This window comes from Homo sapiens, chromosome 1, assembly GCF_000001405.40.
Source record: "Homo sapiens chromosome 1, GRCh38.p14 Primary Assembly".
NCBI classification, from domain to species: Eukaryota; Metazoa; Chordata; class Mammalia; order Primates; family Hominidae; genus Homo; species Homo sapiens.
The window spans coordinates 156,567,494-156,594,300 of NC_000001.11; the positions used below are offsets into that span (position 1 = coordinate 156,567,494).

Genomic DNA, 26,807 nt, shown 5'->3' on the forward strand with positions numbered 1-26,807 from the left:
AGCTAATGAATGTGAAAACACTTTGAATATAAAGTATTATTATTACTGATGGTTGTATGAGGGAGAGATTAAAGTCTACTCAGATGGAATCTCCAAACTTCCCTACATATTGGGGTCTAATTGGAAAGTATCTGTTTCCAAAAAGAGAGCCAGTTACACATTGTTCCATGTCTTCCCTGCCTTAGACACCTGATTTTTCCTGATTGCCCCATCCTCCTGACTCCTTTAAGAACATTAAAAGAATCCTGTTGATTAAAAGCAAAGAATTAAGTACGTATCCTGCTTTTCCTGTACAGATTGACTTTTAGAGTAACCGAATAGTCCTAAGATGATGAGGGAATGTTCTTTAGGATTTCAGCTAGTAAATATGGAAGAAATGACAGAACTAGAAAATAGTCATTTTACACCCTTGATAAAATAATAAATTCTGATGTAGACCAACAATGAATGAAGGCATTAGATGAAAGTTAATGGGAAATTTTATGATGTGTAAATCAGGTTGGTTTCACCTAAACTCCCAGATTGAACTTAGCATCACTAAAAGTGGAACAAGCAGACATTGTATTCTTTCTATAAGATGTGATATGGAACATGTATCTTACATATGTTAAATATCACATATTTTAGATATATGTATTGCAGTATATAAGGGGTAAAAGGATCTGAGTGGGGGAAAAAAAACCACCAACACTAATGAAGTCTTCTTGTCAAAAATGGCTTTTTGTTTTTGTTTTTTTTTGAGACAGAGTCTCACTCTTTCACCCAGGCTGGAGTGCAATGGCATGATCTTGGCTCACTGCAACATCTGCCTCCTGGGTTCAAGCGATTCTCCTGCCTCAGCCTCCTGAGTAGCTGGGATTACAGGCATGCACCACTGCGACCAGCTAATTTTTGTATTTTTTTTGTAGAGACAGGATTTCACCATGTCAGCCAGGCTGGTCTCAAACTCCTGGCCCCAGGTGATCTGCCCGCCTTGGCCTCCCAAAGTGCTGGGATTACAGGCGTGAGCCACAGCGCCCATCCAGGTTTTTCTGTTTGTTTTTGGAGACACAGTCTCACTTTGTCATCCAGGATGGAGTGCAGTGGTGCCATCTTGGCTCACTGTGGCCTCCTCGACCTCCCAGGTTCAAGCAATCCTCCTTCCTCAGCCCCCCAAGTAGCTGGGACTATGGGCACACGCCACCATGCCTGGCTAATATTTGTATTTTTTGTAAAGATGGGGTTTCGCCATGTTGCTTGTCAAAAATGTTGAACCCAAATCTAATTAAGCCAACATTCATTTATAGGAAATACAGGGTATACAGGAATAAGCTGAATGACACAAGAAAGCAAATAGACACCCATCTCTAAAAAACAGAAGGAAAGAAAGAAAAGAAATAGAGACAAAATGTAGGATGTACTTCAGGAAAATGACCCAGTTTTCTTCAGCAAGTCAATAAGATAATGAACTGAAAAAAGGAGATGGGCTGCTCTGGATTAAAGAAGACATACAAGCAGATGTAATTAGTGAGCTTTTTGGATCCTTATTTGAATAAGATAACTGTAAAAACAGATTTTTTTTTTAAGACAAGCAGGAAAATTTGAAAATGGCTTGGGTATTGATCTTCCAAGGATTTAAAATAATTTAGTTGGATATTATAATGGCATTGTGGCTATATAAGCGAACGTCCACATATTTTGGAGATACATATTGCGGTATATAGTGGGTAAAAGGATGTGACTGGGATTTGCTTCAAAAAAAAAAAATTAAAAAGCTATTTCAACTCGCCCTTTCCCACAGGATGGACTCTCGATCTGTTGCATTTGCTTTAGCGGCAGATGCCTAGGGTGGGGTGGTAGAAAGGGAGAGCAGAAAGAGTCCATCTTCCTGGACTCCGCTCACCGCTTGGCCTCCTCCAGCCGGCACAGGTACTGATAGGCAACATTCTGCCGCCTCTGCTCATCCATCTCCTCAGCTGTGAGGCGTTCATCTGAGGAGTTAAACGGGATAAGGTCAATGAAGAGAGCATTAGAGGTGCCTTAGCACTGAAGGGTCTTTTTTTTTTTTTTTTTTTTTTTTGAGACGCCCAGGCTGGAGTGCAGTGGCCCAATCTTGGCTCACTGCAAGCTCCGCCTCCCGGGTTCATGCCATTCTCCTGCGTCAGCCTCCCGAGTAGCTGGGACTACAGGCGCCCGCCACCACGCCTGGCTAATTTTTTATATTTTTTAGTAGAGACAGGGTTTCACCATGTTAGCCAGGATGGTCTTGATCTCCTGACCTCGTGATCCGCCCGCCTTGGCCTCCCAAAGTGCTGGCATTACAGGCTTGAGCCGCCACCATGCCCAGCCGAAACATCTTCTCAACAGACTTGTTTAGGCAACCCTGCTCAGAGACCTGAAACATCTCCCATGTGTCCCTCCTTCTCTTCCCAGGATACCCTTTAATAGGCAGCCTCCTCCTGTGCTGGAGGCATTACTTCTCTTTCCTCTGTAGCCATCTTCCTGTCCTCTTCCTCCTCAAGTCTACTCATGGAACTTCCCTCAGTACCTCCCAGCTGGGACATCCAGAGCCTTCCTTGGCTTGAAACTTAACTCCTTTTCTTATCCCTAATTAGACTGAGTTCTCCAAGAACTGGACCTGTGTCATCCTCGTTGGTTACTCTCTCAGAGGTGAGGTAATAGAACCAACCAGAATTCATCATTCACTCATTCATTCATTCATCAATACCTCCTTTATGCCAGGCACTGGACTAGCAGACCCCTACTCTTAAGAAATGCAGAGATAAAGGCCTGCATGGTGGCTCATGCCTATAATCCCAGTACTTCTGGATGCTGAGGTAGGTGGATCGCTTGAGCCCAGAAGTTTGAGACCAGCCTGGGCAACATGGTGAGACCCTGTCTTGACAAAAAATACACAAATTAGCCTGGTGTGATGGTGCAAACCTGTACTCCCAGCTACTGGGCCTAGACCTGAGCCCAGGAGGTCTAGGCTGCGGTTAGCCATGATCGTGCCACTGCACTCCATCCTGGACAACAGAGATATTGGTGGGTTTGTTTTGTTTTTGAAACAGGGTGTCACTCTGTCACCCAGGCTGGAGTGCAGTAGTGCAGCCTTGACCTCCTGGGCTCAGGTGATCTTCCCACCTCAGCCCCCCCACCACCAAATAGCTGGGACCACAGGTGCGCACCACCATGTCTGGCTAATTCTTGCGTTTTTTGTTGAGACTGGTTCTCACCATGTTGCCCAGGCTGGTCTTGGACTCCTGGGCTCAAGTGATCCTCCCGCCTTGGCCTCCCAAAGTGCTGGGATTACAGGCGTGAACCACAGCGCCCAAAGATTATTATCAGAAGAGAAAAACATCTGAATAAATTAATCTAACATGATAAGTATGATTATAGCCCATGCATAAAATCTATGGGAGCAGCAGAGGAAGCAAAGGATTCTAGCTATGAACTAGATCTTAAGGAATAAATAGGCGGAACACAGGGAAAGGCAGTCCAACAGAGGGAAACATGCCACTCACTTGGGATTAAGTGGAAGGACAAAGAAAATTTTAAAAGATCACAAAGGTATCTTCACTATCCTTTTTGGTATAGGTCACCCGAGGAGGAAAAGAATCTTCAAGCTAAATAAAATACAGAGTACTGATTCCAAAACTCAAGAATAGAGAATCCCTCAAGTGAGACAGCAATCATAATTTGCCTTAGTTACAGTCTCCCTTAATCCTTCTCCCTTCTCTCCCCTCTCTCTATTCTCCTTAGAAACACAATACAAAATCAAACAGAAAGAGTAAGAGAAAGCTACACACACAGTAAGAAAATAAACTCAGAGAGCTTGAAAAAAGGCAGAGCTTAGCCAATCTGTCTTTGACTCAGCACTTAATGTCATTCCCGGTTGTTATCCTATTTCCTTATATTGCATATTCTGCAATGATTCAGGGAAGGGCAGAGCTTATATGAATGAGCAGTTAAGTAAATTAAAACACATGCGTGCACACACACACACACCCCTCCAAATACAGATTTGAAAACACTGGCCAACCACAGGAAAGCCATCAGTTCCTCCAAGGGGGTGTACAAGGAACAAGTGTTGGTTGTTAAGCATGGAAAATAAACCAGTAAGTGAATGACATCATCTCAGAGTTATGAACTGAGGACTGTGGGCGATGGGAGGGATTTTGTACATACACATGCTGTCTCAAAAAAATAAAAAACCGAAAAACAGTTTTCCTGTCCTTCTCAGGTCTGGAACTAGTTTTCCTTTAACAGAAGACTGGACATGGACTTTGCTCTTTGAATCCTAATAGAAAGGAAGGGAGTGGTGGAAGGAGCAGGTTTTCCTTTCATTCAGAAAATCAGATAGAACCTTTCTGCCCCACCCATCCTTCCAGCTCCAGTCTCTCTCTCTAAAACAGTGTCTTTGAAAATGTGGCCCAGGGACTACCTTCCTCACAATCACCTGGGGTGAGGGAAGAAGCACAGCAGTGCTTGTTATAAATGCAGATTATGGGCCCCAAACCAGACCTTCTGGAACTGAAGCTCTGGGACAGGTCCCAGGAATCTGCATCTCAAACAAGCTTCCCGGGTAATTTCACCCCCTGTTTGACAGGCATTGTCTGAAAGCGGCATCTCAAAGCCTAAGAGTCCCCCAGATCCCTTGAGGCGTCTTGTCCGGTGGCATCGCTGGGCAAGTTTGGTAGCCAGCAGTAACTGCTGAATTTCAAGGAGCCATTAGGATCACCTACATTCTCCCGACTCCGGAACCCCAGAACTTGGAAATAGGAAGAAAGTTCTTTGTAAGCTTTAAAGCGCAGCACATTAGTCAGGGGACAATGCGCCGCTCACAGTTCCACTCGGGCCCACGGCGCCCGGGCTGAGGATTCCCGTCCCACTGAGCAGTCCCACCGCCCTCGCCCCTCAGGCTTCACGCCCGACACACGCCCCAATCTCTCCCGGGACAGCCAAGCCCCCGACCAGCGGCACCACTGCGAGACCCTTCTCTGACCCTCTCCGCACTCACAGGCTGCCCAGCCTGGGCCCGCTGCTCTCCTCTCCATGTTCCTCCTTCTTCCAGGTTTGAATCTCCCGCCGTTGGGCCACCGCCCCTCACCGTCGGCACCGCCAGACAGGACACTTCCCGTCCACACCGCTGAGAATCCTGGGATTTGTAGTTCCCGGCCGCGGAGCCGGGCCGCCCAGGTGCTGGGAGAAGAGGCGCCCCAGGCCGGGGCAGTACCGCTCCCCTTACAGCAGTTCCTCGTCTTGTTCCTTCCAGGCTCCTTTTCTGCTTAACAGTCTTATTCTAGCTGCTGCCCCTGCCATTGCCTCTGTCATCTCCACCTAGTATTCCCATTAACCCCTACTCTGCTTCCTATGTGTTCCCGAGTCCGGCTAACTTGTGGGCCTACTTGGCGCTATGCACTAAGCTAGGTGATGCGAATGCAGAGATGTATGAGGGCAGTGAATGCTCTAAAAGAGTTTGCTGTTCTGGCACAAGTGATAGACATATAGTCAAATAAATTAGAGGTCGGTGATGCACAGAGGGAGGGGGTCATTGCTGTGAATAAGAGCAGCGAATGACAGGGAAGACGTCCTGGTGGAAGTGACAGCTGATTTGGGTTGAGAAGTGAAAGAGAATTCATCAGATTGAAGAAGAGAGGCAGTGCAGTCAGTGGAGACAGCATGTGCAAGAACGAGGAGGTGAGTTCGGGAACTTAAACTTGGTTCAGTTTTAGAGGAGAACAAAGCTCAGCCAGGGAGAGGCCAGAAGGGATCCTGGAGGCACAGGGCCAGGTCCAGTAGCACCTTGGGCACCATGCTAGGGCCCTGGCATGGGGTCTGGTGAGCAGTCACCAGCCAAGGAACACTTTAGACATAGGTCAGAGCCAGATTTGTCCTTTAAAAAGAGCCATCTTATAGCAGGGGATTGGAAGGGGGTGAGGCTAGGGGCAGAGACCAGTTGGAAGGCTACTGCAGTAGCACAGAAGAGAGATAATAAGAGCCTGAACTAGGCCAGGCACGGTGGTTCACACCTGTAATCCCAGCACTTTGGGAGGCGGAGGCGGGCAGATTAACTGAGGTCAGGAGTTCAAGACCAGACAGGCCAACATGGTGAAACCCCATCTCTAGTAAAAATACAAATATTAGCCAGGCGTGGTGGGGTATGCCTGTAATCCCAGGTACTCCGGAGGCTGAGGCAGGAGAATCGCTTGAACCCAGGAGGCAGAGGTTGCAGTGAGCTGAGACTGTGCCACTGCACTCCAGCCTGGGCGACAGAGTGAGACGCCGTCTCAAAAAAAAAAAAAAAAAAAAAAAAAAGAGCCTGAACTAATAAAAAATAATTATGACACCAACAACTATGCTGAAAAAATATTATCTGATAGGTTTCCCCATCTTGTATTTCTCCTTTTACCCTTTCCCCACACTCCATCCAAACAACCAAGCAGCCTAGGCTTATAGCTTGGGCAGGTAGGAGAGGAGAATGTGAAAGAACAGAAAACAGAAATCCATACCTAGAGCCTTCAGAGGAACAGAGGAGACTCAGGGGCTGAGACAAAACTGGGAAAAGTGTAATTTGAAGAGTGGATGCCCCCCTGAAGATCTGAGGGATTCCCCTTACCTCTCACCAGCTGGGGGAGACAGAATCTAGATGTTGGTGGCTCCTGGCAACTGGGGTCCCATTCTCTGCTTCCTGGAAAGGACCCTAGGTGTACAGGACCCTGAGAAAGAACAGTTATATAATTAGCCAGGCAGACAATAGACAGCTTTGCAGAAATTCCTGACCTAGACAGAAAGGAAGTATCCGAATGAATTACTCCCCTCTTCTGCTTGGACCCTGGGCTTGAAAGGGCCAGGCAGATGAGAAGAAAGAAGGTGTCAGTGGACACCTTTGTGAATAGACGGCTGAGGACCAGATGAGCCTCATCTTGGCCTCATATACCTCCCCCTACTTAGACTCCACCCTGGGGAAAAGGAGGGGGCAAATCCCCAGACTTGTTCACATTGTTTCCATCATCCCAGTGGAATCAGGGCTTGAAACAGAAGTTGAGTAGAGATTAATTTCTTCCACACCAGAGTTATGGACCAACACACCTATAGTGTTTACTATAGGATGGGTACTATATTTAGCATGATCTTACAATAACTATCTTATTTAATCTTTACAATACAGATTAGAAACTGAGACTTAGAAAGGTCACACAGCTAATAACTGGTAGAGACTAGAGCTAAATGCAGATAGTCGCACTCCAAGCTTGAGTTCTTTTTTTTTTTTTTTTGAGACGGAGTCTTGCTCTGTCACCCAGGCTGGAGTACAGTGGCGCGATCTCGGCTCACTGCAAGCTCCACCTCCCAGGTTCACGCCATTCTCCTGCCGCAGCCTCTCGAGTAGCTGGGACTACAGATGCCTGCCACTACCCCAGCTAATTTTTCTTTTTTGTATTTTTTAGTAGAGTTGGAGTTTCACCGTGTTAGCCAGAATGGTCTCGACCTCCTGACCTCATGATCTGCCCACCTCAGCCTCCCAAAGTGCTGGGATTACAGGCATGAGCCACCGCGCCTGGCCTTATTTTTTATTTTATTTTTTATTTTTTTGAGACAAAGTCTCACTCTGCTACCCAGGCTGGAGTGCATTGGCACGATTTTGGCTCACTGCAACTTCCACCTCCTGGGTTCAAGTAATTCTCCTGCCTCAGTCTCCCAAGTAGCTGCGATTACAGGTGCCCACTACCACGCCTGGCTAATTTTTTTATATTTCTAGTAGAGATGGGGTTTCACCATGTTGGCCAGGCTGGTCTCAAACTCCTGACCTCAGGTGATCTGCCCGCCTCAGCCTCCCAAAGTGTTGGGGTTATAGGCGTGAGCCACCACGCCCGGCCCCAAGCTTGAGTTTTTAACCACTATATACTATACCACCTCCAAGGCATGAGACTGCAGTACAAAGGGTATACTAGAGGAGGATTTCAAAGGTAGAATCAACAGGCTGAGATTGAGAGCCAGAGAAGGAGTCAAGAATGGCTCCTCGGTTTCTGGTTTAGAGACTGGGTTGTTGGTCTACTATTAACACTGAGAACGCTGGAAGGGTAGAGTTAGGGAAATGTGAGTTTCCCTTGGACAAGTTACATCTATAGGTACACATTTAGAAATTATGAGTCTGTCAGTGGTGTTAAAACCACAGGAGTCAGTGAAATGTTCTTAGAAGAGTATATAAAGTAAGAAGAGAAAATAGCAAAGGGCAGCATGTTGGGGGACATTAGCATTTAAGAGGTAGACAGAGGGTCCAGCAAAAGAGATGGAAATGGAATTTTCAGAGAAGGACAGAGAGAGCCAGGAGACAGAACGTTATGGAAGCCAAGTGAAAAGAGAGTGCAAGGATGTGGTGGGTACAGAAAGGAATCAAACAAGAAAATGATTCAGAAATGATCACTGGATAATTGGGAGGTCATTGGAGCCTTGGTGAGAACAGTTTCAGTCCCTGCCCTCTCCCTAAATCATCCTCCCTTCTTAAGGGAAGCCTGCTGAGTGAAGGACAAACTGAGCTGCATATTTGGCCCTGACCAGGCTGTGGTAGCACCTTAAAAGCCCAGCTGTCTGCAGAAGCTGCAGACAGCTGGGTTAGCCTGCCTTGGGCATGGGACTCAGGACACACCACCCCAAAATATGACTGTAGGAAACTAGAATATGCCACCTCAAAATATACTTCTTTGGCATATTTTGAGCAGGTTATTCTGAGAAACTGCAGACACAGGAGTAGCGCTGAAAAGTTGTCCTTTCGTAAAAGAAATTTATATCTGTAAAGGAAATCTACATTAGTAAAGTACCTGTATCAGGAAGAGGGCTGCTCTGAGATAACTTCTGTTTGTCCTAGCTGGACAACCTCTGTTCACCATGCACTTGCTCCCCTCACCCTCCAATAACTTGGATCAGCACCACCCCCGAGATGCCCCAACCCCTATTCCTTTCTGTAGCTGGGGATGCTGTATAAACGTCAATCGTCTGACTTTTCTTTGAGTCTCATGTGTTACGGGACTCCTGTGTATATGCACATATGTCATGAGCCTCATAACAACGTTTTGGTCAACAACAAATCGCATATACAATGGTGATGCCATAAGATTATAATAGACCTAAAATATTCCTATCACCTAGTGATGTTGTAGCCACCCTAACACCTTAGTACAACGCGTCACTCACATGTTTGTGGTGATGCTGGTGTAAACAGACCTACCATGCTGCCAGTCATATATACATGTATAGTAATGTCCTAGGCTGGATGTGGTGGCTCATGCCTGTAATCCTAGCACTTTGGAGGCTGATGCAGGAGGATTACTTGAGCCCAGGAGTTCAAGGTCAGCCTGGGCAACATAGCGAGATCCTGTCTCTACAAAAAAAAAATTTTTAAGTTAGCTGGGCATGGTGGCACACACCTATAGTCCCAGCTAGTCAGGAGGCTAAGTTGGGAGGATTACTTGAGCCCGGGAGGTCAAGGCTGCAGTGAGTTGTGATTTCACCACTGCACTCCAGCCTGAGTGACAGACAGAGACTCTGTCTCAAAAAACAAAAACATAAACAAAAAACAGTAATGTCCTAGGCCTTCACATTCACTCACCACTCACTCACTAACTTGCCCAGAGCAACTTCCAGTTCTGCAAGCTCCATTCATGGTGACTGCCCTATGCAGGTGTACCATTTTAAATCTCCCTTTTTTTTTTTTTTTTTTTTTGAGACAGGGTCTCCCTTTGTCACCCAGGCTGGAGTGCAGTGGTGTGATCTCAGCTCCCTGCAACCTCCGCCTCATGGGTTCAAGCAATTCTCCTGCCTCAACCTCCCGAGTAGCTGGGATTACAGGTGCGCGCCACCACGTGCAGCTAATTTTTAGTAGAGACAGGGTTACACCATGTTGGCCAGGCTGGTTTCCAACTCCTGGCCTCAAGTGATCCACCCACCTCAGTCTCCCAAAGTTGTGGGATTACAGGTGTGAGCCACCGCACCCCACTTAAATCTCTTATACCATATACTTAGGGTACTTTGTTTAGATATGTTTAGATACACAAATACCATTGAATGACATTTGGTGACAGTATTCAGGAGAGTAACATGCTGTCCAGCTTTGTGGCCTAGAAGCAATAGGCTATACCAGAGAGCCTGGGTGTGTAGTAGGCTACACCATCTAAGTTTGTGTAAGTAAACACCATCTATGATGTTTGCACAATGACAAAATCACCTAATGATGCATTTCTCAGAACATATCCCTGTTGCTAAGCGAAGCATGACTGTAATTAAAATGGTTTTTCTCCTGCTAATCTGTCTTATGTCAATTTAATTTGTAGCCCAGCCAAAGAATCTAGAAGGGTAGGGAGAAGCCATTTTTTCACTCTGCCACAGCACCATCTGTAGCACCCAGCACTATGCCTGCACATAGCAGGCATTTAGCAAAGGCTGCAGGCCAAACGCAGGTGAGCCCCGTCACTTCATAATTTTTGTTTCTGGCAAAGGCCTCTTTACTTAAAAGAGGCCTTTCCCTAGGCAATGAGGACATTTTCTTTCTGATGCAGGCCACCCTTGGTGAGTTGGGGCATTATATTCCCTTCGTCCTGGGGCCTGCTGTCCTCTCATTAAGCAGAAACTGTAGGTCACAGATCAGTGGAGTTGGAAAAAGGAGTCTTGGGGGAGTCTCTTCTGATCTCCAGGCCTTTCCTGACTATCAATCTTTCACCCTGTTCCCAAATGTGAAACCACCACACAGAAGCACAGTATGTAAGAGAGAGAGAGAGAGAGAGAGAGAGAGTGTGTGTGTGTGTGTGTGTGTGTGCGCGTGCGTGTGCGTGTGAGAGAGAGAGAGAGAGAGAGAGAAAGGGTTCACTTCCAGGACAGCTCAAGCCCCATTAAAGCTTGCTATCACAGGTCATGCCGGGTGCAGTCTGTAATCCCAACACTTCGGGAAGCCAAGGCAGGAGAATCATTTGAGCTCAGGAGTTTGAGACCATCCTGGGCAACATATCAAAACCCCATCTCTATAATAATAATAATAATAATAATAATAATAATAATAATTATTATTATTATTATTATTAGCCAGGTGTGGTGGCACATGCCTGTGGTCCCAGCTACTTGGGAGGCTGAGGTGGGAAGATCGCTTGAGCCCAGGAGGTAGAGGCTGCAGTGAGCTGTGATCATCTAGGCACTTCAGCCTAGATGACAGAGCAAGATTCTGTCTCAAAAACAAACACACAAACAAAAAAAACAACTTGCAATCACACAGTGTAGTGGAAGGGACCCTAGGCTACTCACCTTGAATCAAAAAACCTAGAGTTGGCTGGGCGTGGTGGCTCATGCCTGTAATCCTAGCACTTTGGGAGGCAGAGGCAGGCAGATCACCTGAGGTCAGGAGTTCAAGACCAGCCTGGCCAACATGGGGAAACCCAGTCTATACAAAAATACAAAAATTAGCCAGGTGTGATGGCAGGCACCTGTAATCCCAGCTACTCAGGAGGCTGAGGCAGGAGAACGGCTTGAACCCAGGAGGCAGAGGTTGCAGTGAGCTGAGATTGCACCACTGCACTCCAGCCTAGGCAACACAGCAAGATTCCGTCTCAAAAAAAAAAAAAAAAAAAAAAGACGGGGTGCAGTGGCTCACACCTGTAATCCTAGCACTTTGGGAGGCCAAGGCAGCCAGATCACTTGAGGTCAGGAGTTCGAGACCAGCCTGGCCAACATGGTGAAACCCCTTCTCTACTAAAAATACAAAAATGAGCTGGTTGTGGTGGCGTGCACCTGTAATCCCAGCTCCTCAGGAGGCTGAGGCAGGAGAATCACTTGATCACTTGAGCCCGGGAGGCAGCGGTTGCAGTGAGCCGAGATGGCGCCACTGCACTCCAGCCTGGGTGATAGAGTGAGACTCCATCTCAAAAAAAAACATAGAGTCTAACCCCAGCTACGTGACTGCTCTGTGACCTTAGTTAAGTCACATCTGCTGTCTGAGGCTTGGTCCCTTCCTCTGTGAAATGAGGGGATGAAGTAGATGATTTCTGAGGGTGTAACTAGTAAGCGCCCCTCTGATGCCTTGATTCATTTCTTGAAGTGAGGGACTTGAGGGGGTGTGTCTGCAGCACTACCGAGGTTTAGCACTAAGATACGGCTTCAGAGCTGTCACTCAAATAATTCCCTACGACTGGAGGGTGGTACCTGGTTGTCTAGTAACCTCTAGGGCTTTGAGCTAACAGCTTGGGAGGTAACCCAAGCCAGAGGGGCCATTCCAGAGAGCCAGCTGCGGAGAAGACCCAAGGAGGTAAGGTGTCCTGCAGTGGGGATCCCCACACTGGATGGGGGTGGTCAGGAATGCCCTGGAGTGGAAGGCCTTGAAAAGGCAGGATTTCTGGGTGTTCTTAGAAGCAGGGGGAATTTCTTTTAAAAGAGACTGCTTTTCCTCTGCCTGCCCCTCCTAAAAAAGGGGAAAAAAAGGATAAAATGGGAGGGGTCAAGAGCCCAGGGCCTGGGTCTTTTCCACTCTTTTTCCCATCTCCTGGGAGGAGAGTTCATAAAAAGCTTTTGCCCTTCAAGGGGAAAAATACAAACAGGATATACAAGCTGCTGAGATGCTTGTATTCAGGTTTAAGAGGGCTCTGGAGACCAGAGCAGGAGGCTGGGGGCCTAGAACCAGCCAGCAGACAGAAAGCGGAAGAAATGGAGAGAGAGCTTCCCCTTGAGCTAGGGAAGGGGCAGTAAATGCATGTTCTGTCCCACACCACACTCCTTTTCAGAAAATCCTTCTCTCCTGGAGGTTCGCTCCTTGCCAATTCAGGAGCCTCCTCACCCTAGGGTCCCCAGTGCCTAGTGTGGTTCCTAGCACATAGCAGGGGCTCACTGAGTGCTTGTTGAACTGACCTGAACTACGTCTTGAGATTAGATAGCAGGAGTACCTAGATGATGAGTGAGGGGGGTGTCTGTGGAGGCACAGTGTGAAGGAAGTTATGGAGGAGAGGCCCTGCATATGCGGTTCCTTCATCTATTTATTTGCAGCTTTTTTTGAGACAGAGTTTCTCTGTCACCCAGGCTGGAGTGCAATGGCGCGATCTCAGCTCACTGCAACCTCCACCTCCCGGGTTCAAGCAATTCTCCTGCCTCAGCCTCCCGAGTAGCTGGGATTACAGGCGCCCGCCACCACGCCCGGCTAATTTTTGTATTTTTAGTAGAGACGGGGTTTTACCATGTTGGCCAGGCTGGTCTCTATCTCTTGACCTCGTGATCTGCCCACCTCAGCCTCCCAAAATGCTGGGATTACTGGTGTGAGCCATCGCACCTGGCCTATTTGTTCAATCCAAAAACACTCGTATGGTGGTAACATATACATAACATACAATTTACCATTTTAACCATTTTAAAATGTGCAGTTCAGTGGCATTAAGTACACTCACATTATTGTGCAATTAACACCACTATCCATCTCCAGAACTTTTTCATCTCCTTTCATAAACATTTATTGAGAATCTACTGTGTGCCAGACCCTGCAAGTTGCTCCAAATCTAGTAGTGGGGGGAAGACAATAAAGTCATCAGCTCTGACCCAGTGTGATAAATGCTATAAAAGACATAGGCATCAAGTGCTATGGGACCACAGGAGTACCCAGTTGGTTGAGAAGAAGGTGCGTTCTGAAGTAAGCTGTTACTTGACTTGAGTCTTGAAGGAGGACTAAGAATTAGTCAGGAAGTTAGAGTGAGAGTGGATATGGTGCCCAATGGGACAGAAGAAACAAAGTGAGAGATCAGAGAGCAATCCTTGAAACCCTGAGGGTCATGCTAGGGCAGGGGTAGAGCTGAATTGCCCTAAGGGGGTCCTGCTATCTAGAGGAAGCCAAGGCTGACATACTGAGCCCTCTGTTCCCCTTTGTCAGCCCTATGTCTTCCCCCAACCCTGAGGATGTGCCCCGGAGGCCAGAACCTGAGCCCTCAAGCTCCAATAAGAAAAAGAAGAAAAGAAAGTGGCTGCGGCAAGAAGCCAGCATCCAAGCCCTCACCAGGGCTGGCCATGGGGCCCTTCAGGCTGGCCAGAACCATGAAGCCTTGAACAACTTCCAGAGGGCCTTCCTTCTGGCCTCCAAGGCCCCACAAACCAGGGATACCCCTGTGCTCCAGGCCTGCGCCTTCAACCTGGGGGCTGCCTATGTGGAGACTGGGGACCCAGCCAGAGGCCTTGAGCTACTCCTGCGAGCCCACCCTGAAGAGAAGGCACAGGGCAGGCGACACGGCGACCAATGTTTCAATGTGGCTTTGGCCTACCATGCCCTCGGCGAGCTGCCTCAAGCTTTGGCCTGGTACCACAGGGCCCTGGGCCACTACCAGCCACAGGGTGACCAGGGAGAAGCCTGGGCAAAAATGGGAGCCTGCTACCAGGCTCTGGGACAGCCTGAGCTAGCAGCCCACTGCCTGCAGGAAGCAAGCCAGGCCTATGCTCAAGAGAGACAGCTGCGGGCCGCAGCCCTGGCACTGGGGGCTGCGGCAGGATGTATGCTGAAGAGTGGGCGGCATCGGGTGGGGGAAGTTGTGCAGGTGCTGGAGAAAAGCCGGAGGCTTGCCGAGAGGAGCACTGAGAGGCGACTGCTGGGTGAGACCTTCGGGCAGGGAAGGCATGGGATCTGGGGAGACACAGAGCCTGATGATACTCAGAGGGCTGGGTTTGGGGAACCCTGGAGGAGTCGATAGGGGCTGTACCAGCCTCATTTATATCTGGTCTGGCTACCAGTGACCCTGGCTATTCCCTCTAGGGCACCTCTATAACGATCTAGGCCTGGGCTACTCCCAGCTCCAGCTGTTCCCGCTGGCCGTGGAGGCCTTCCTGCAGGCCCTGCCCCTGTGCTGGGTGCCAGGAGAGCAGGCCACAGTGCTAAGAAACCTCGGGATGGCCCACAATGCCCTCGGCAACTATCAGGAAGCTCGGGAGTTTCACCAGAAGGCTGCTGACCTACACGGTGGGTGCCTGGGGCCGGGGAATGGGACTGGGACTAAGACACTAAGAAGGGGTTCCAAAAGGGGCCCAAGGCTTAAGGGTGGATGGCCCTTTGGGACCACTTATGGAGCCTGAAAATCCAGAACCAGTGGGGGAGAGCTGGAAGTGCAGGAGATGGGACAGCCAGACAGGACAGAGGGTTGTGGGCCCAGAGGCCGAGGCCTCAGGGTTGGGAAGGCAGCAGTGGGCAGGGGGAAGGGTACTGGCTGCGAGAGGAGGCCTGAAGCGGAGTCCAGCCCCTCTGCTGATTGTTTGTGTGACATTGAGGAACCACTTTCACTCTCCGAGCTTCAGTTTCCACATTTTTAAAAACGGGGCCATTAACACCTGCCTTGCCTGCATCACAGGGTTGTTGCCTGACTCAAACTAGCCAGGTGGAGGCACTCACACCAGAACTCAGGATGGGGCCAGGCTGGGTGTGGAGGGTTCAGGCCTCTCGGATGCATCTGGAGTGTTCTGGGGCTGGGCACCAGGCCTCCTGGGAGGTCTGTCTTGGTTGCTGGAGGGTGGGGTCCTGATGTCCCAGCAGCCAGAGTCCCCTCTGAGGATGGGGTGGGCTCTGTCCTCAGGCTCTGTGGGGCAGCGGTGGGAGCAGGGCCGGAGCTTTGGCAGCCTGGCCTTTGCATTGAGCCAGCTGGGGGACCACAAGGCTGCCAGAGACAACTACCTGCATGCCCTGCAGGCTGCCCGGGACTCTGGTAAGCGTGAGAGGGTTGGGATGTGACTGGGACAGTGGGGAGGCTGAGGGTCCTAGGGGCTGGCGGGGAGGCAGATGGGGGGAACTGAGGGTAGGGAGTGCCTCTGAGGGGGTGGATCAGTGGGGTAGGAAGTCATGAAAGGACCTTCCAGGCTCTCTTTCTCTCAGGGGACATGAAGGGACAGTGGCAGGCCTGTGAGGGTCTGGGGGCTGCTGCAGCCAGGCTGGGGCAGTATGACCAGGCCTTGAAGTACTATAAGGAAGCACTGGCCCAGTGTCAGGTGAGACCCCGCACACCGGAATCCACCTCTCCCCTGCTATCCCTCTTCTGGCTGACATTCCTGCCTTCACTCCTTGTCTTCTCCCCATCACTCACTCAATCAGCAAACATGCACTGGACACACTGTGTGCTAGGTCTTGGGATACTATTGTGAGGAAGAGTTCATCGCTGTCCACAATTCTGGGCAGGTGGTGGCAGGACCCTGGGAAAGGCATGGGGATGGGGTAGAAGAGAGGGGAAACAAAGCCCCCCTCCCCCCTCCCTTTCCTGTTTCCTTCTTCCCCAACCCCCAGAGGACCATAAGGTCCAGGCATTCCCCATTACCCTATTATCCACCCTCTTCCCAGAAGGAGCCAGATTCTGTGCGAGAACGGCTGGTGGCCAAGCTGGCAGACACCGTGAGGACGCGCTTGGCCCAGGTGGGGCTGGTCCAGACTCACACCCTGGTGAGATGACACCTGAGACAAGGAGATGGGGGTGGAGAGAGGTTACCCAGAGAAGGGGTTGGTGGTAAGCAGAGACGCTGTTCCCTGGGATGCTGCGCGCTTGGCCGCTCATCTGTGTTCATCCGCCTTGAGCCTGCGCATGAGATATATCACTTTCCAAGGGTGGGAGGTGGGTGGGGGACTGTGGCACGTCTCCAACACAAGGGCTGATATGTAGGTGATTAAAAATAAAGAAATAAATTTAAAAGAATCGGTAGGCCATGTGTGCAAGGAGGTAGAAAGTTTCAAGTCCTTGACTGCAGTTCCCTAAATGGCCACAGGATGGAGATGTGCTCCAAGGAAGTCCCTCTCTCCCGTCTTTAAGTCTCTGGAGGTCATTTCTCTGTGGGTCTCCACCGTGTTCCTCCTTCCAAGTCTCTGCTTTAACCTGTTTCTACCTCCGGGTCTCTCTGTACGATTCGTTGGCTCTCCAACCGCCTCCTCCTTCACATTTTCAGACAACCCCAGAAAACCTCTTCCCGCTCCAGGAATTGAAATGATACTTTAATATTTATATGTATTTAATAGGTTTTATGCCCTTGCATTTTAAAGACCATATTTAAAGACACCATATTTTAAATCTGCAAGCAAAATTAAATTAGCCTGGTACAGGCAGAGGATTGGATTGAGGGGTCAGAATACCTGGGTCCCAGCCAATGTCTGCCACCTATTTTCTGTGACTTTACGGTATCAGGCCCCAGAAGGGATGGGGTGGTCATCAGGCGCTGGCCAGGTCTGCTAGTCCCTAAATCTGAATTCAAGCCTGAGAGTTACTAGCAGGGACCTTAATAGAACAAAGAGCCTCACCCCAGAATTGTATTCTCCGAGACAAGCGGCAGAGCCCGAATTGTCTCTATCACATAAGTCTCTGGAGGGAGCACACACGTAGCTGGGATGGCCGTTTTTCTCAGACCTATTCCCTTTACTCCACTTCATTCCCAGACTTCGGCTCCGGGAAGACTCCAGGCTCCAGGTGGGGCCAGCCAGGCGGAGGGGACCCCAGCAAAGGCAGGAAGCAGCACAGCAGGTGTCCAGCACAGGTGAGGGTGGGAATGGTGCAGCAGAGATGCATGCGCCCTCTGCAGGGTGTTGGGGGCTGTCGCAGTGGGGTAGGACCCCATGTGTATCCCCAGGAAGGAGGGGACTGGTGTCGCTCTGCCAAGCTGTGCCCTGGTTCCTTGCCCCTACAGATCTTCCAGTGGGTGGGAAGATGAAGAGTTTGAGGAGGGCCACCAGAAGAAAAAAGAGGAGAGGTCGGCAAACGTTCCGGTGAGGGCTGGGCCGGGAAGACCAGAGCGTGAGTTGATGTAGAGTATTCCTGGCGGTGCCTCTCCTTACTGCAAATATGGCACTCCCACCCCCACCCGCCTGCCTCCGCTTCTTATGCCCATCCCACCATCCCGCCTTCCTGTTGTCATTTCTTTGAGGCCTGGCACAACCTCGCGCCACCCCTGACCCTGGCTGTCCCAGTTCGCAAGTCCCCAACAGCCCTCCCATGATTTCTGCTTGTCTCTCAAGGCCCTGGACCATTTTCCCTGAACCCTTCTAGAACTCCCTCTTCCTTCCTGCTCTCATGGCTTTCCTAACTTCTAGAACTTTGCATCTTGGACCCCAGGGTTTTGCTGAAAGCCTACTCTGTGCCCAACACAGCGCTGGGTGCTGTTGGTAAACCCCAGCTCACTACTCAATAGCATCTCCCACAAAGACTTGCAACTCAGGGAGCAGAGTTCTTTGCTACTTGTTGAGCTGACCTGAATTTACCGATGTCTCCTTTTCAGTGTGTTTCCTTCCAGGCACAGTGAATCATTCGCACCATCTAGCTTCTAGTTGCCCCACGTTTACCAAGCACACGCCCTGCAGAGGGACAGTCCTCGGCAAAGCCTCCATCTATAGTGAGCAGTGCATCCCCTGACACCGCCCCAACTCGTGGTTCTTCTCTCAGAGCTTTTTTCCACCATGATAGTTCTTGGTGCAGAGAGGCACGTGATGAATGTGTCTGTCCTTCTCCATCTAGGTCCAGGACCCAGGGCCCATCTTCCATTTGTAGGTCCAGGCCCTCCCAGAGCGGAGTACCCTAGCATCTTGGTACCCAATGGCCCTCAAGCCAATAGGTGGGTCCTTGGGGGAAAGAAGGAGGCCTGGAGAATAGCAAAAAAAGTAGAATGTGTGGCTTGGGATGATTTTAATGAAACACGACTGCTGTTGAAGTTGGGGGAAGCTGGGATCTCATGCTTGGGATATAGGGCCCCGAGCCCCACTTTGTCTTTGCCCTTTAGCAATGTGAACAACCCTCACCCGGCTCTGGAAGCCCAGGGTATGCCCTGCTTCCTAAATGGCCTGATGGTAGGCCTCAGTGAAAGACAGGGTGCTGCAGGATGGGGGGATATGAAGCTTAAGCCAACTCCCTCCTTCTCTGGAGCCCACCAGCAGAGGTAAGGGCCAAATAGGGCAGAGGGAAGCTGAGGCCAAGGCAGGCTGCCTCCTGCTGTCTCCCCAGTCACCCCCACTGGCAAGCCCCTCCCTGCCTCTTTCAGGTCATCCAGGTGGCCCAGGGAAAGCCTCAGCAGGAGCCGCCAGAGGAGACCCATGGAGTCGGGCATCTGCACTATTGTGTGACCTCCCCCTGCCAGCCTCAGCCCTCATCCCTGAAGCACCTGTCCAACACGCACACACTAGGGGGTCCTGGGGACCAAGCCTCTTCCCAGTTGCTCAGCCCTGCAGGGATGTGGAACACAGTGCAGCCAGTGGACTCCTGAGGAGGCTGGCCAAGGGCTTTGCAGGCTCGGCCCTGAGAGGTTCTGTTTGTTCCTCCTTGGGATTTTTGGACTCAGTAGGTAAAAGAAAAAAGGAAAATGGATGGCAAATTCCCTGTCTTTCTGAATCCAAATCTTACGATTGCTAGGGGCCTGGCAGTTCTAAAAACTGACTTCGTGGTCAAGTAGCTTTGGAGTCACTGACTGTCTCCAGACGTCCATTTTTGCACATGAGAAATGAGGATATAATACTACAGAAGAGGCATCTTACCCAACCAATGCACCTTACTTCTCTGTGAAACACAGGGGATGCTGGGCGCAGGCCTAGGCTGTGGCCTGTAGCCTGTAGGACAGCTCCTGCCAGCAGCCACAGGAACAGTGATGTGATGTAACATTTCCCAAGTACTTAGCTCATGCCCCACCCTATTCTAGGTGCTTAGCTCAGGCCCCACCCTATTCTAGGTGCTTAGCTCAGGCCCCACCCTATTCTAGGTGCTTAGCTCATGCCCCACCCTATTCTAGGTGCTTAGCTCATGCCCCACCCTATTCTAGGTGCTTCACAAGTGTATTCTCCTCTAATCCTCACAACAAATATATGAGGTGCTATTATCCCCTTTCGCAAATGAGGAAAATAAGGCACAAAGCTTCAGTAATCTGAATTCCCAGGTCACATAACTAGTATGTAGAGAAGCTGGGAATCAAACCCAGGCAGTGAGCACTTTCTAGAATGCTGTGCAGTTCCACTTCCCCAGCTAAGCCCTTGCTTACCCAGAGTCCATTGTGATTTAATATCAAGTGTGTCTATGCCCGTTGTATGTGTTATTGTAATTCATAATGTAATTAAATACTATACACATTGATGAACAGGCCAGGTGAGATGGCTCACCCTTGTAATCCTAGCACTTTGCGAGGCCAAGGTGGGAGGATTGCTTGAGCCCAGGAGTTTGAGACCACCCTGGGCAACATAGTGAGACCCCATGTCAATGTAAAAGAAAATTTATCTTTAAAAAAAAATAAATTGATGAACTGAGAGTGGGAAAAGCAGCACTGTTTCTATAAAAACTAAGTTGGATCCTTAGAAGACTCGACTAAGGTAAGTTACTTTTTCTTTATTATTCTTATGCTTTATCTTCCAGTGATGGAGGAAAGAGTGAGTTTATTTATTTATTGAGACAGGGTCTTGCTCTGTTGCTCAGGCTGGAGTGCAGTGGCACGATCACATCTTACTGCAGCCTCAACCCCCTGGGCTCAAGCGATCTTCCCACCTCAGCCTCCCACTAGGAGTACAGGTGCACCACCATGCCAGGCTAATTAAAAAAAATATATAGAGAGAGAGACAGGGTCTCACTATGTTGCCCAGACTGGTCTCAAACTCCTGGGCTCAAGCCATCTTCCCGCCTTGGTGTCCCAAAGTGTTAGGATTACAGATGTGAGTCACTGCACCCAGCCTGTGAGTCACTTTATTTTTTTGTTTGTTTGTTTATTTATTTATTGAGAGGGAGTCTCGCTCTGTCTCCCAGGCTGGAGTGCAATGGCGTGATCTCGGCTCACTGCAACCTCCACCTTCCGGGTTCAAGTGGTTCTCCTACCTCAGCCTCCCGAGTAGCTGGGATTACAGGTGCAAGCCACCAAGCCCGGCTAATTTTTGTATTTTCAGTAGAGATAGGGTTTCGCCATGTTGGCCAGGCTGGTCTCAAACTCCTGGCCTCAGGTGATCCGCCTGCCTCGGTCTTCCAAAGTGTTAGGGTTACAGGTGTGAGCCACTGCGGCTGGCCTCTGTGAGTTACTTTAAAAAGCTACCGTGGGCTGGGCACAGTAGCTTATGCCTGTAATCCCAGCACTTTGGGAGGCCAAGGTGGATGGATCACTTGAGGCCAGGAGTTTGAGACCGGCCTGGCCAACATGGCGAAACCCTGTCTGTACTAAAAATACAAAAAATCAGTGGGGCATGGTGGTGCATGCCTGTAATCTCAGCTACTTGGGAGCCTGAGGCAGGATAATTCACTTGAAACTGGAAGGTGGAGGTTGCAGTGAGCCAAGATCATGCCACTGCACTCCAGCCTAGGCAACAGAGTGAGACTCTGCCTCAAAAGAAAAGATAAAAGCTGCTATGCAATTAGATGTGAGCAACAAGATTATTACAAATTGGGGGAATAATAATAAAAATATAAATTCTGCACTCAAGATTGCTTCAAACATGCCATTAACTGTTTCACTTTAAGGAAGCAAACTGGAAATTGCGGGTGATACATAACTGGTGAGGTTTATGTAAGAAAGAAGATGAGGAATCTAATCACAGGCTCCATCCTCAAAGAAAAGACCCTGGCCACACTTTGACAGATGGAAAATTAATGTATTTTTTAAAGTTGAAATAAAATAATCCACTCCTGATCATGTCAGATAAGAGAAAGTAGGGAAGGCAAAACTTTACCTCCACTCTCTTAGGGTCTCTAGCTGGGACAGAGAATTAAATTGACATAAAACAGATTAACAAGAGAAAAGCATACAGATTTACTTAATATAAATTTTATGTGACACAGGAGCCCTCATAAAGCAATGAAGACCCAAAGAAGGAAAACCTAAATGTTTTGTACTAGGTCGAACAAAGAGCCAATTGTGGAAAAGCAGCTAAAATATATGGGGAGGCCAGTCGCAGGGGCTCACACCTGTAATCCCAGCACTTTGGGAGGCCAAGGTGGGTGGATCAGTTGAGCCCAGGAGTTTGAGACCAACCTGGGCAACATGGTGAGACCCCATCTCTACAAAAACTACAAAAATTAGCCAGGTGTGGTGGTGTATGCCTGTAGTCCCAGCTACTAGGGAAGCTGAGGCAGGAGAATCGCTCGAACCCAGGAGTCAGAGGTTGCAGTGAGCCGAGATCATGCCACTGCACTGCAGCCTGGGTGACCGAGTGAGACTCTATCTCCAAAAAAATAATAAAAATAAAATATATGGGGAGGCTAAAGGAAGATAAGAGATATTTTAACAAGGTCTGTTTGTACAGAATTCTCTCAGCTTCGACTCCCTGTCTCTGGTGATAAGAATGTTTCTTTCCTCCTGGAGGAAGGCATTCATTGTTCACATGGGAGTTTTGTTTCCTGCTTTCAGGAAGAAAAGGGGAGGTTAGAGCACTCTTCTTATACTTACCGTTTTTCTTTTTCTTTTCTTTTTTTTTTGGGGGGGGGGGATGGAGTCTGGCTCTGTCGCCCAGACTGGAGTGCAGTGGCATGATCTTGGCACACTGCAACCTCCTCTTCCCAGATTCAAGCGATTCTCCTGCCTCAGCCTCCTGAGTAGCTGGGGTTACAGGCGCTCGCCACCCACGCCCTGCTAATTTTTTTTGTATTTTTAGTAGAGATGGGGTTTCACCATGTTGGCCAGGCTGGTCTCGAACTCCTGACATCAGGTGATCCACCTGCCTTGGCCTCCCAAAGTGTTGGGATTACAGGTGTGAGCCAGTGCATCCAGCCCTAATTTTTGTATTTTTAGTAGAGGTGGTGTTTCACCATGTTGGCCAGGCTGGTCTCGAACTCCTGACATCAGGTGATCCACCTGCCTTGGCCTCCCAAAGTGTTGGGATTACAGGTGTGAGCCAGTGCATCCAGCCCTAATTTTTGTATTTTTAGTAGAGGTGGTGTTTCACCATGTTGGCCAGGCTGGTCTTGAACTCCTGACCTCAAATGATCCACTCACCTTGGCCTCCCAAACTGCTGGGATTACAGGCGTGAGCCACTGTGCCCTGCCAAGACCTCGCTTCTACAAAAAATATGAAAATTAGTCGGGTGTGGTGGCACGTGCCTGTAGTCCCAGTTACTGGGGAGGCTGAGGCTGGAGGATCACTTGATCCCAGAGGTCCAGGCTGCAGTGAGCCATGATCAGGCGGCTGCACTGCAGCCTGAGTGACAGAGCGAGACCCTGTCTAAAAAACAAAAAAAAACCTTCCCTTTACCTGTGTCTTAGCTTGGGCTATCATAATAAAATATCATAGATTGGATGCTCAAGCAACAAATTAATTTCCTGACAGTTATGGGGACTGGAAGTCAGATTAGGGTTCCAGTATGGTGACAGAGAGGAGGGGCAGTGAGAGGAAGAAAGTCTTATAAGGGCACTAATTCTACCAGTTCAGGGACTACCTCTTATATCCCAACTAATGCTAATCCCAACCACCCTGTCTCCGAATACCATTACACTGGGGGTTAGGGCTTCAACATATGAATTTGTGAGGGAGGAAGGGAAGGGAACACAAACATTGAATCCATAGCAGTCTGGATAATTATCTTTATCTTAGTGCCTTGATGGTAACTGGTTTGTTACTCTCCAACCTTTTCCCCTAACCACGCAAGAGAGTGTGTTTGCATTCTCAAAACCACTAGCCTAAACTCTACTCCTCCTCTCAAGACTTCTAGTGAAACATCATCGTGACCTGGAGCCTATGGTTTCAATTACGTTTTAAACCATAGCTTACCCAAACTATTTAAGGATAATTTTATATTTCCATAGCTATTATCTCAGTAAAGGGGTTAAGCATGACTCGGGAAGTACAGCATGATACCCTGGTAAAACAGAGGTAGGGGAAGCTAATGTAGTGTAGAGGGGGCCTAAGTTACATAGGCTTGGTGGTGTAAATAAGAACAGTAGCTTAATTTCTATACCACGCCCTCTGCGACGGTTTGCAGGCATTAGCACCTATGGAAGTATGTACTCGTTTCCCTGTTGTATAGGCGAAAAACTGACACCAGCAGTTCCCACATTCACTCAGCCACTAAGCAGTGGGGCAGGAATCAAGGCTAACTGCTATGCCATCCATACACCTTTCTGAAAGAGTTACAAAATCAGCACTTATTATCAAAGGGCCGTTGGGAGCAAGGCATTTCGGCGTATCTGGAAATGTGTGGCGATCTGTAAACGCTCCTGAGGAGAGCTGGAATCCCAAGTGGAAGGGAAGCTGGACCGGGTGGGAACTGCTCCCCAGCCCAAGGGCTGCTAGAACCCCAAGACTCCAGCCCCGAGCGGCTTCCGGAATCCGCGCGTGCTGGCCCGGCCTCTTCGGGGGCGGGGCGAGCGCCGCACATGCGCCGGGGCCGGGCCGGGCCGGGGGCGCGCGCTCTGCGAGCTGGATGTCCAGGCTGCGGGCGCTGCTGGGCCTCGGGCTGCTGGTTGCGGGCTCGCGCGTGCCGCGGATCAAAAGCCAGACCATCGCCTGTCGCTCGGGACCCACCTGGTGGGGACCGCAGCGGCTGAACTCGGGTGGCCGCTGGGACTCAGAGGTCATGGCGAGCACGGTGGTGAAGTACCTGAGGTAGGCACGGGTCTCGGGTGGCCTGCTCTGCCCCGGGGCGGGGCCTGGGACGGCCGGGCCACCTGCGCGACAGAGAACACGAGGGGCGGGACTCAGGCCGCGGGTTTTCCTCAGCCAGGAGGAGGCCCAGGCCGTGGACCAGGAGCTATTTAACGAATACCAGTTCAGCGTGGACCAACTTATGGAACTGGCCGGGCTGAGCTGTGCTACAGCCATCGCCAAGGTCAGTGGCACAACTCTCGACCTTTGGGAGCAGCCAGGGAGGAGTCACTGTCCCAGCCCCCTGGCCTAGGCACAAAGGGGTGGGAGAGACAGCTGGGCCAATATGGTCTATTACCGCCTGAAACCCCGCCGAACCACCCTTGACTCTGCCTTCAGGCATATCCCCCCACGTCCATGTCCAGGAGCCCCCCTACTGTCCTGGTCATCTGTGGCCCGGGGAATAATGGAGGAGATGGTCTGGTCTGTGCTCGACACCTCAAACTCTTTGTGAGTATGTGGGGAGGGGCTGTGGGGGAGGAGGGCGTGAGGGCTCTGGGATCTGGGGTTGAATTACCACTTTCTTCCTAGGGCTACGAGCCAACCATCTATTACCCCAAAAGGCCTAACAAGCCCCTCTTCACTGCATTGGTGACCCAGTGTCAGAAAATGGACATCCCTTTCCTTGGGGAAATGCCCGCAGAGGTAGGTGGCTCCAGTTGAATACCTCCATCCTACAGTAACCACTGCCTGTGCTCTGCTCTTCCTTCGTGTTTCCAGGCTGAGCTCATTTTAGTGCCTGGTACGGAAGGTGCCTAACGGATGGTATTCGAATAAGTGTGCAAGAGCCTTCTCCTCCTTCATAAAGTGTGCTCCATGAGTCCCACACACCACCTTCTCTAAAGCTTCCTTGCCCTTTCATCTCCCTGGTCCCTCCTTCCACTCTGTAGTCAGATCCTCTTGCCCTAGCATGCAGTAAACACATGATCTACCCCTCAGGGGCCGGAGTGGCTGCCCTATCTGAAACCCTTCCTGCAGATGCATGGATTAAGGGATGGGAAATTGGGTAATTTTTTTCCTTAACCCATTTTACAGATGAAGATACTGAGGTGCAGAGAAGTGGTTTGCTTAAAGTCACTAAATTGTATCATGGCAGAGCTGAAACCAGAATCTGGCTCTCCTGACTCGTCTCAGGCTATCTCAGCCTGTAGCCTCCCCAGTGGTGGGCAGGCAGGCAGGCACCGAGAACAAAAACTGTCTGGTCTCAATTTGGCCTGAATCAGTGACCAACTCACACTTTCTCTAGGCCTCAGGCTGCCCTCTGAATGAGACACAATACTTGTGCCTCTGAGAATGGTCTGCAGGTGCAGAGGACAGCCCTCTCCAGTTAAGGCTGTTTGTGCAGCTGCTGGCTCTGACATCCTTTTCCTGCTCCACCACAGCCCATGACGATTGATGAACTGTATGAGCTGGTGGTGGATGCCATCTTTGGCTTCAGCTTCAAGGGCGATGTTCGGGAACCGTTCCACAGCATCCTGAGTGTCCTGAAGGGACTCACTGTGCCCATTGCCAGCATCGACATTCCCTCAGGTGCTGGGATCCAGAAGGTGGGGTGGGGGAGATTGGGGCCCTACCCTCCTGACTCTTGCCCACACCAGGTCTAAAATAATTTTAGTCTAGAGGGGCAGAACACAGCTTTCTGGACCCCCATCAGGGCTGGGGAACAGTGTTCAGAAGTCCCCTTTACATGTTGGCCCCATGAAGAGACCACGGCCCAAGGGTACGTGGAGCTCGTTGGACGAGAGTTCCTCAGGTGGGAACTGAGGGGACTTCCCACTCCTCTGGGACTAGGGTAAACTAAGGTGTAGAAGGGGACGAGACATCTGGCCTCTTCCTGAACACCACCCTCTTTTCAGGATGGGACGTGGAGAAGGGAAATGCTGGAGGGATCCAGCCAGACTTGCTCATATCCCTCACAGCCCCCAAAAAATCTGCAACCCAGTTTACCGGTCGCTACCATTACCTGGGGGGTCGTTTTGTGCCACCTGCTCTGGAGAAGAAGTACCAGCTGAACCTGCCACCCTACCCTGACACCGAGTGTGTCTATCGTCTGCAGTGAGGGAAGGTGGGTGGGTATTCTTCCCAATAAAGACTTAGAGCCCCTCTCTTCCAGAACTGTGGATTCCTGGGAGCTCCTCTGGCAATAAAAGTCAGTGAATGGTGGAAGTCAGAGACCAACCCTGGGGATTGGGTGCCATCTCTCTAGGGGTAACACAAAGGGCAAGAGGTTGCTATGGTATTTGGAAACAATGAAAATGGACTGTTAGATGCCAAG

The 26,807-nt window shown here is 49.9% G+C and overlaps 3 protein-coding genes across 14 annotated transcripts in view, besides 8 other annotated features; 2 read left to right on the forward strand and 1 right to left on the reverse strand.

The window, feature by feature from the left end:
• Positions 1-5,072, reverse strand: part of IQGAP3 (IQ motif containing GTPase activating protein 3) — a 47,161-nt gene extending 42,089 nt beyond the window's left edge. For 2 of the 4 annotated variants that reach the window (XM_047445996.1, NM_178229.5), the window contains exons 1-2: positions 5,000-5,072; positions 1,883-1,970 (exon numbers count right to left, since the gene is read on the reverse strand). In XM_047445996.1, the coding sequence (XP_047301952.1) occupies positions 1,883-1,970; positions 5,000-5,036 (125 nt within the window). In that variant the 5' untranslated portion in view covers positions 5,037-5,072. Of the gene's footprint in view, positions 1-1,882; positions 1,971-4,984 lie in introns of all 4 variants that reach the window. The other 2 variants (XM_047445990.1, XM_011509198.4) reach the window with 1 other exon arrangement.
• Positions 5,073-12,229: 7,157 nt separating this feature from the next.
• TTC24 (tetratricopeptide repeat domain 24) lies at positions 12,230-20,226 on the forward strand. Of its 9 annotated transcripts, NM_001105669.4 has the most exons (11): positions 12,230-12,265; positions 13,868-14,577; positions 14,738-14,941; positions 15,549-15,677; positions 15,845-15,957; positions 16,304-16,402; positions 17,384-17,481; positions 17,632-17,738; positions 18,220-18,333; positions 18,456-18,552; positions 18,976-20,226. In NM_001105669.4, exons 2-11 carry the CDS (start codon positions 13,872-13,874, stop codon positions 19,055-19,057), a joined length of 1,749 nt encoding a protein of 582 aa, NP_001099139.2. In that variant the 5' UTR covers positions 12,230-12,265; positions 13,868-13,871; the 3' UTR covers positions 19,058-20,226. The 9 variants fall into 9 exon arrangements, with proteins under 9 accessions (NP_001099139.2, XP_011507555.2, XP_011507556.2 ...); XM_011509253.3 differs by lacking the exon at positions 12,230-12,265 and having other exon boundaries at positions 18,456-18,873; XM_011509254.3 differs by lacking the exon at positions 12,230-12,265 and having other exon boundaries at positions 16,307-16,402; positions 18,456-18,873.
• Positions 14,361-14,460: an enhancer, noted in NCBI's record as "active region_1871". NCBI's record gives its function as "activates an Ori minimal core promoter by ATAC-STARR-seq in GM12878 lymphoblastoid cells {active_cell/tissue: GM12878}" and the evidence as "EXISTENCE:reporter gene assay evidence [ECO:0000049][PMID:35858748]".
• Positions 14,471-14,520: an enhancer, noted in NCBI's record as "active region_1872". NCBI's record gives its function as "activates an Ori minimal core promoter by ATAC-STARR-seq in GM12878 lymphoblastoid cells {active_cell/tissue: GM12878}" and the evidence as "EXISTENCE:reporter gene assay evidence [ECO:0000049][PMID:35858748]".
• Positions 15,131-15,430: an enhancer, noted in NCBI's record as "active region_1873". NCBI's record gives its function as "activates an Ori minimal core promoter by ATAC-STARR-seq in GM12878 lymphoblastoid cells {active_cell/tissue: GM12878}" and the evidence as "EXISTENCE:reporter gene assay evidence [ECO:0000049][PMID:35858748]".
• Positions 17,126-17,627: an enhancer, noted in NCBI's record as "H3K4me1 hESC enhancer chr1:156554411-156554912 (GRCh37/hg19 assembly coordinates)". NCBI's record gives its function as "activates a minimal SCP1, AML or CMV promoter by ChIP-STARR-seq in primed H9 embryonic stem cells {active_cell/tissue: H9 hESC(primed)}" and the evidence as "EXISTENCE:reporter gene assay evidence [ECO:0000049][PMID:30033119]".
• Positions 17,628-18,127: an enhancer, noted in NCBI's record as "H3K4me1 hESC enhancer chr1:156554913-156555412 (GRCh37/hg19 assembly coordinates)". NCBI's record gives its function as "activates a minimal SCP1, AML or CMV promoter by ChIP-STARR-seq in primed H9 embryonic stem cells {active_cell/tissue: H9 hESC(primed)}" and the evidence as "EXISTENCE:reporter gene assay evidence [ECO:0000049][PMID:30033119]".
• Positions 24,199-24,548: a silencer, noted in NCBI's record as "silent region_1431". NCBI's record gives its function as "represses an Ori minimal core promoter by ATAC-STARR-seq in GM12878 lymphoblastoid cells {active_cell/tissue: GM12878}" and the evidence as "EXISTENCE:reporter gene assay evidence [ECO:0000049][PMID:35858748]".
• Positions 24,199-25,283: a biological region, named in NCBI's record as "H3K27ac-H3K4me1 hESC enhancer GRCh37_chr1:156561722-156562568".
• NAXE (NAD(P)HX epimerase) lies at positions 24,283-26,806 on the forward strand. Its single transcript, NM_144772.3, has 6 exons — positions 24,283-24,493; positions 24,608-24,716; positions 24,872-24,982; positions 25,064-25,177; positions 25,915-26,062; positions 26,389-26,806. Exons 1-6 carry the CDS (start codon positions 24,312-24,314, stop codon positions 26,589-26,591), a joined length of 867 nt encoding a protein of 288 aa, NP_658985.2. The 5' UTR covers positions 24,283-24,311; the 3' UTR covers positions 26,592-26,806.
• Positions 24,437-25,283: an enhancer, noted in NCBI's record as "H3K27ac-H3K4me1 hESC enhancer chr1:156561722-156562568 (GRCh37/hg19 assembly coordinates)". NCBI's record gives its function as "activates a minimal SCP1, AML or CMV promoter by ChIP-STARR-seq in naive H9 embryonic stem cells {active_cell/tissue: H9 hESC(naive)}" and the evidence as "EXISTENCE:reporter gene assay evidence [ECO:0000049][PMID:30033119]".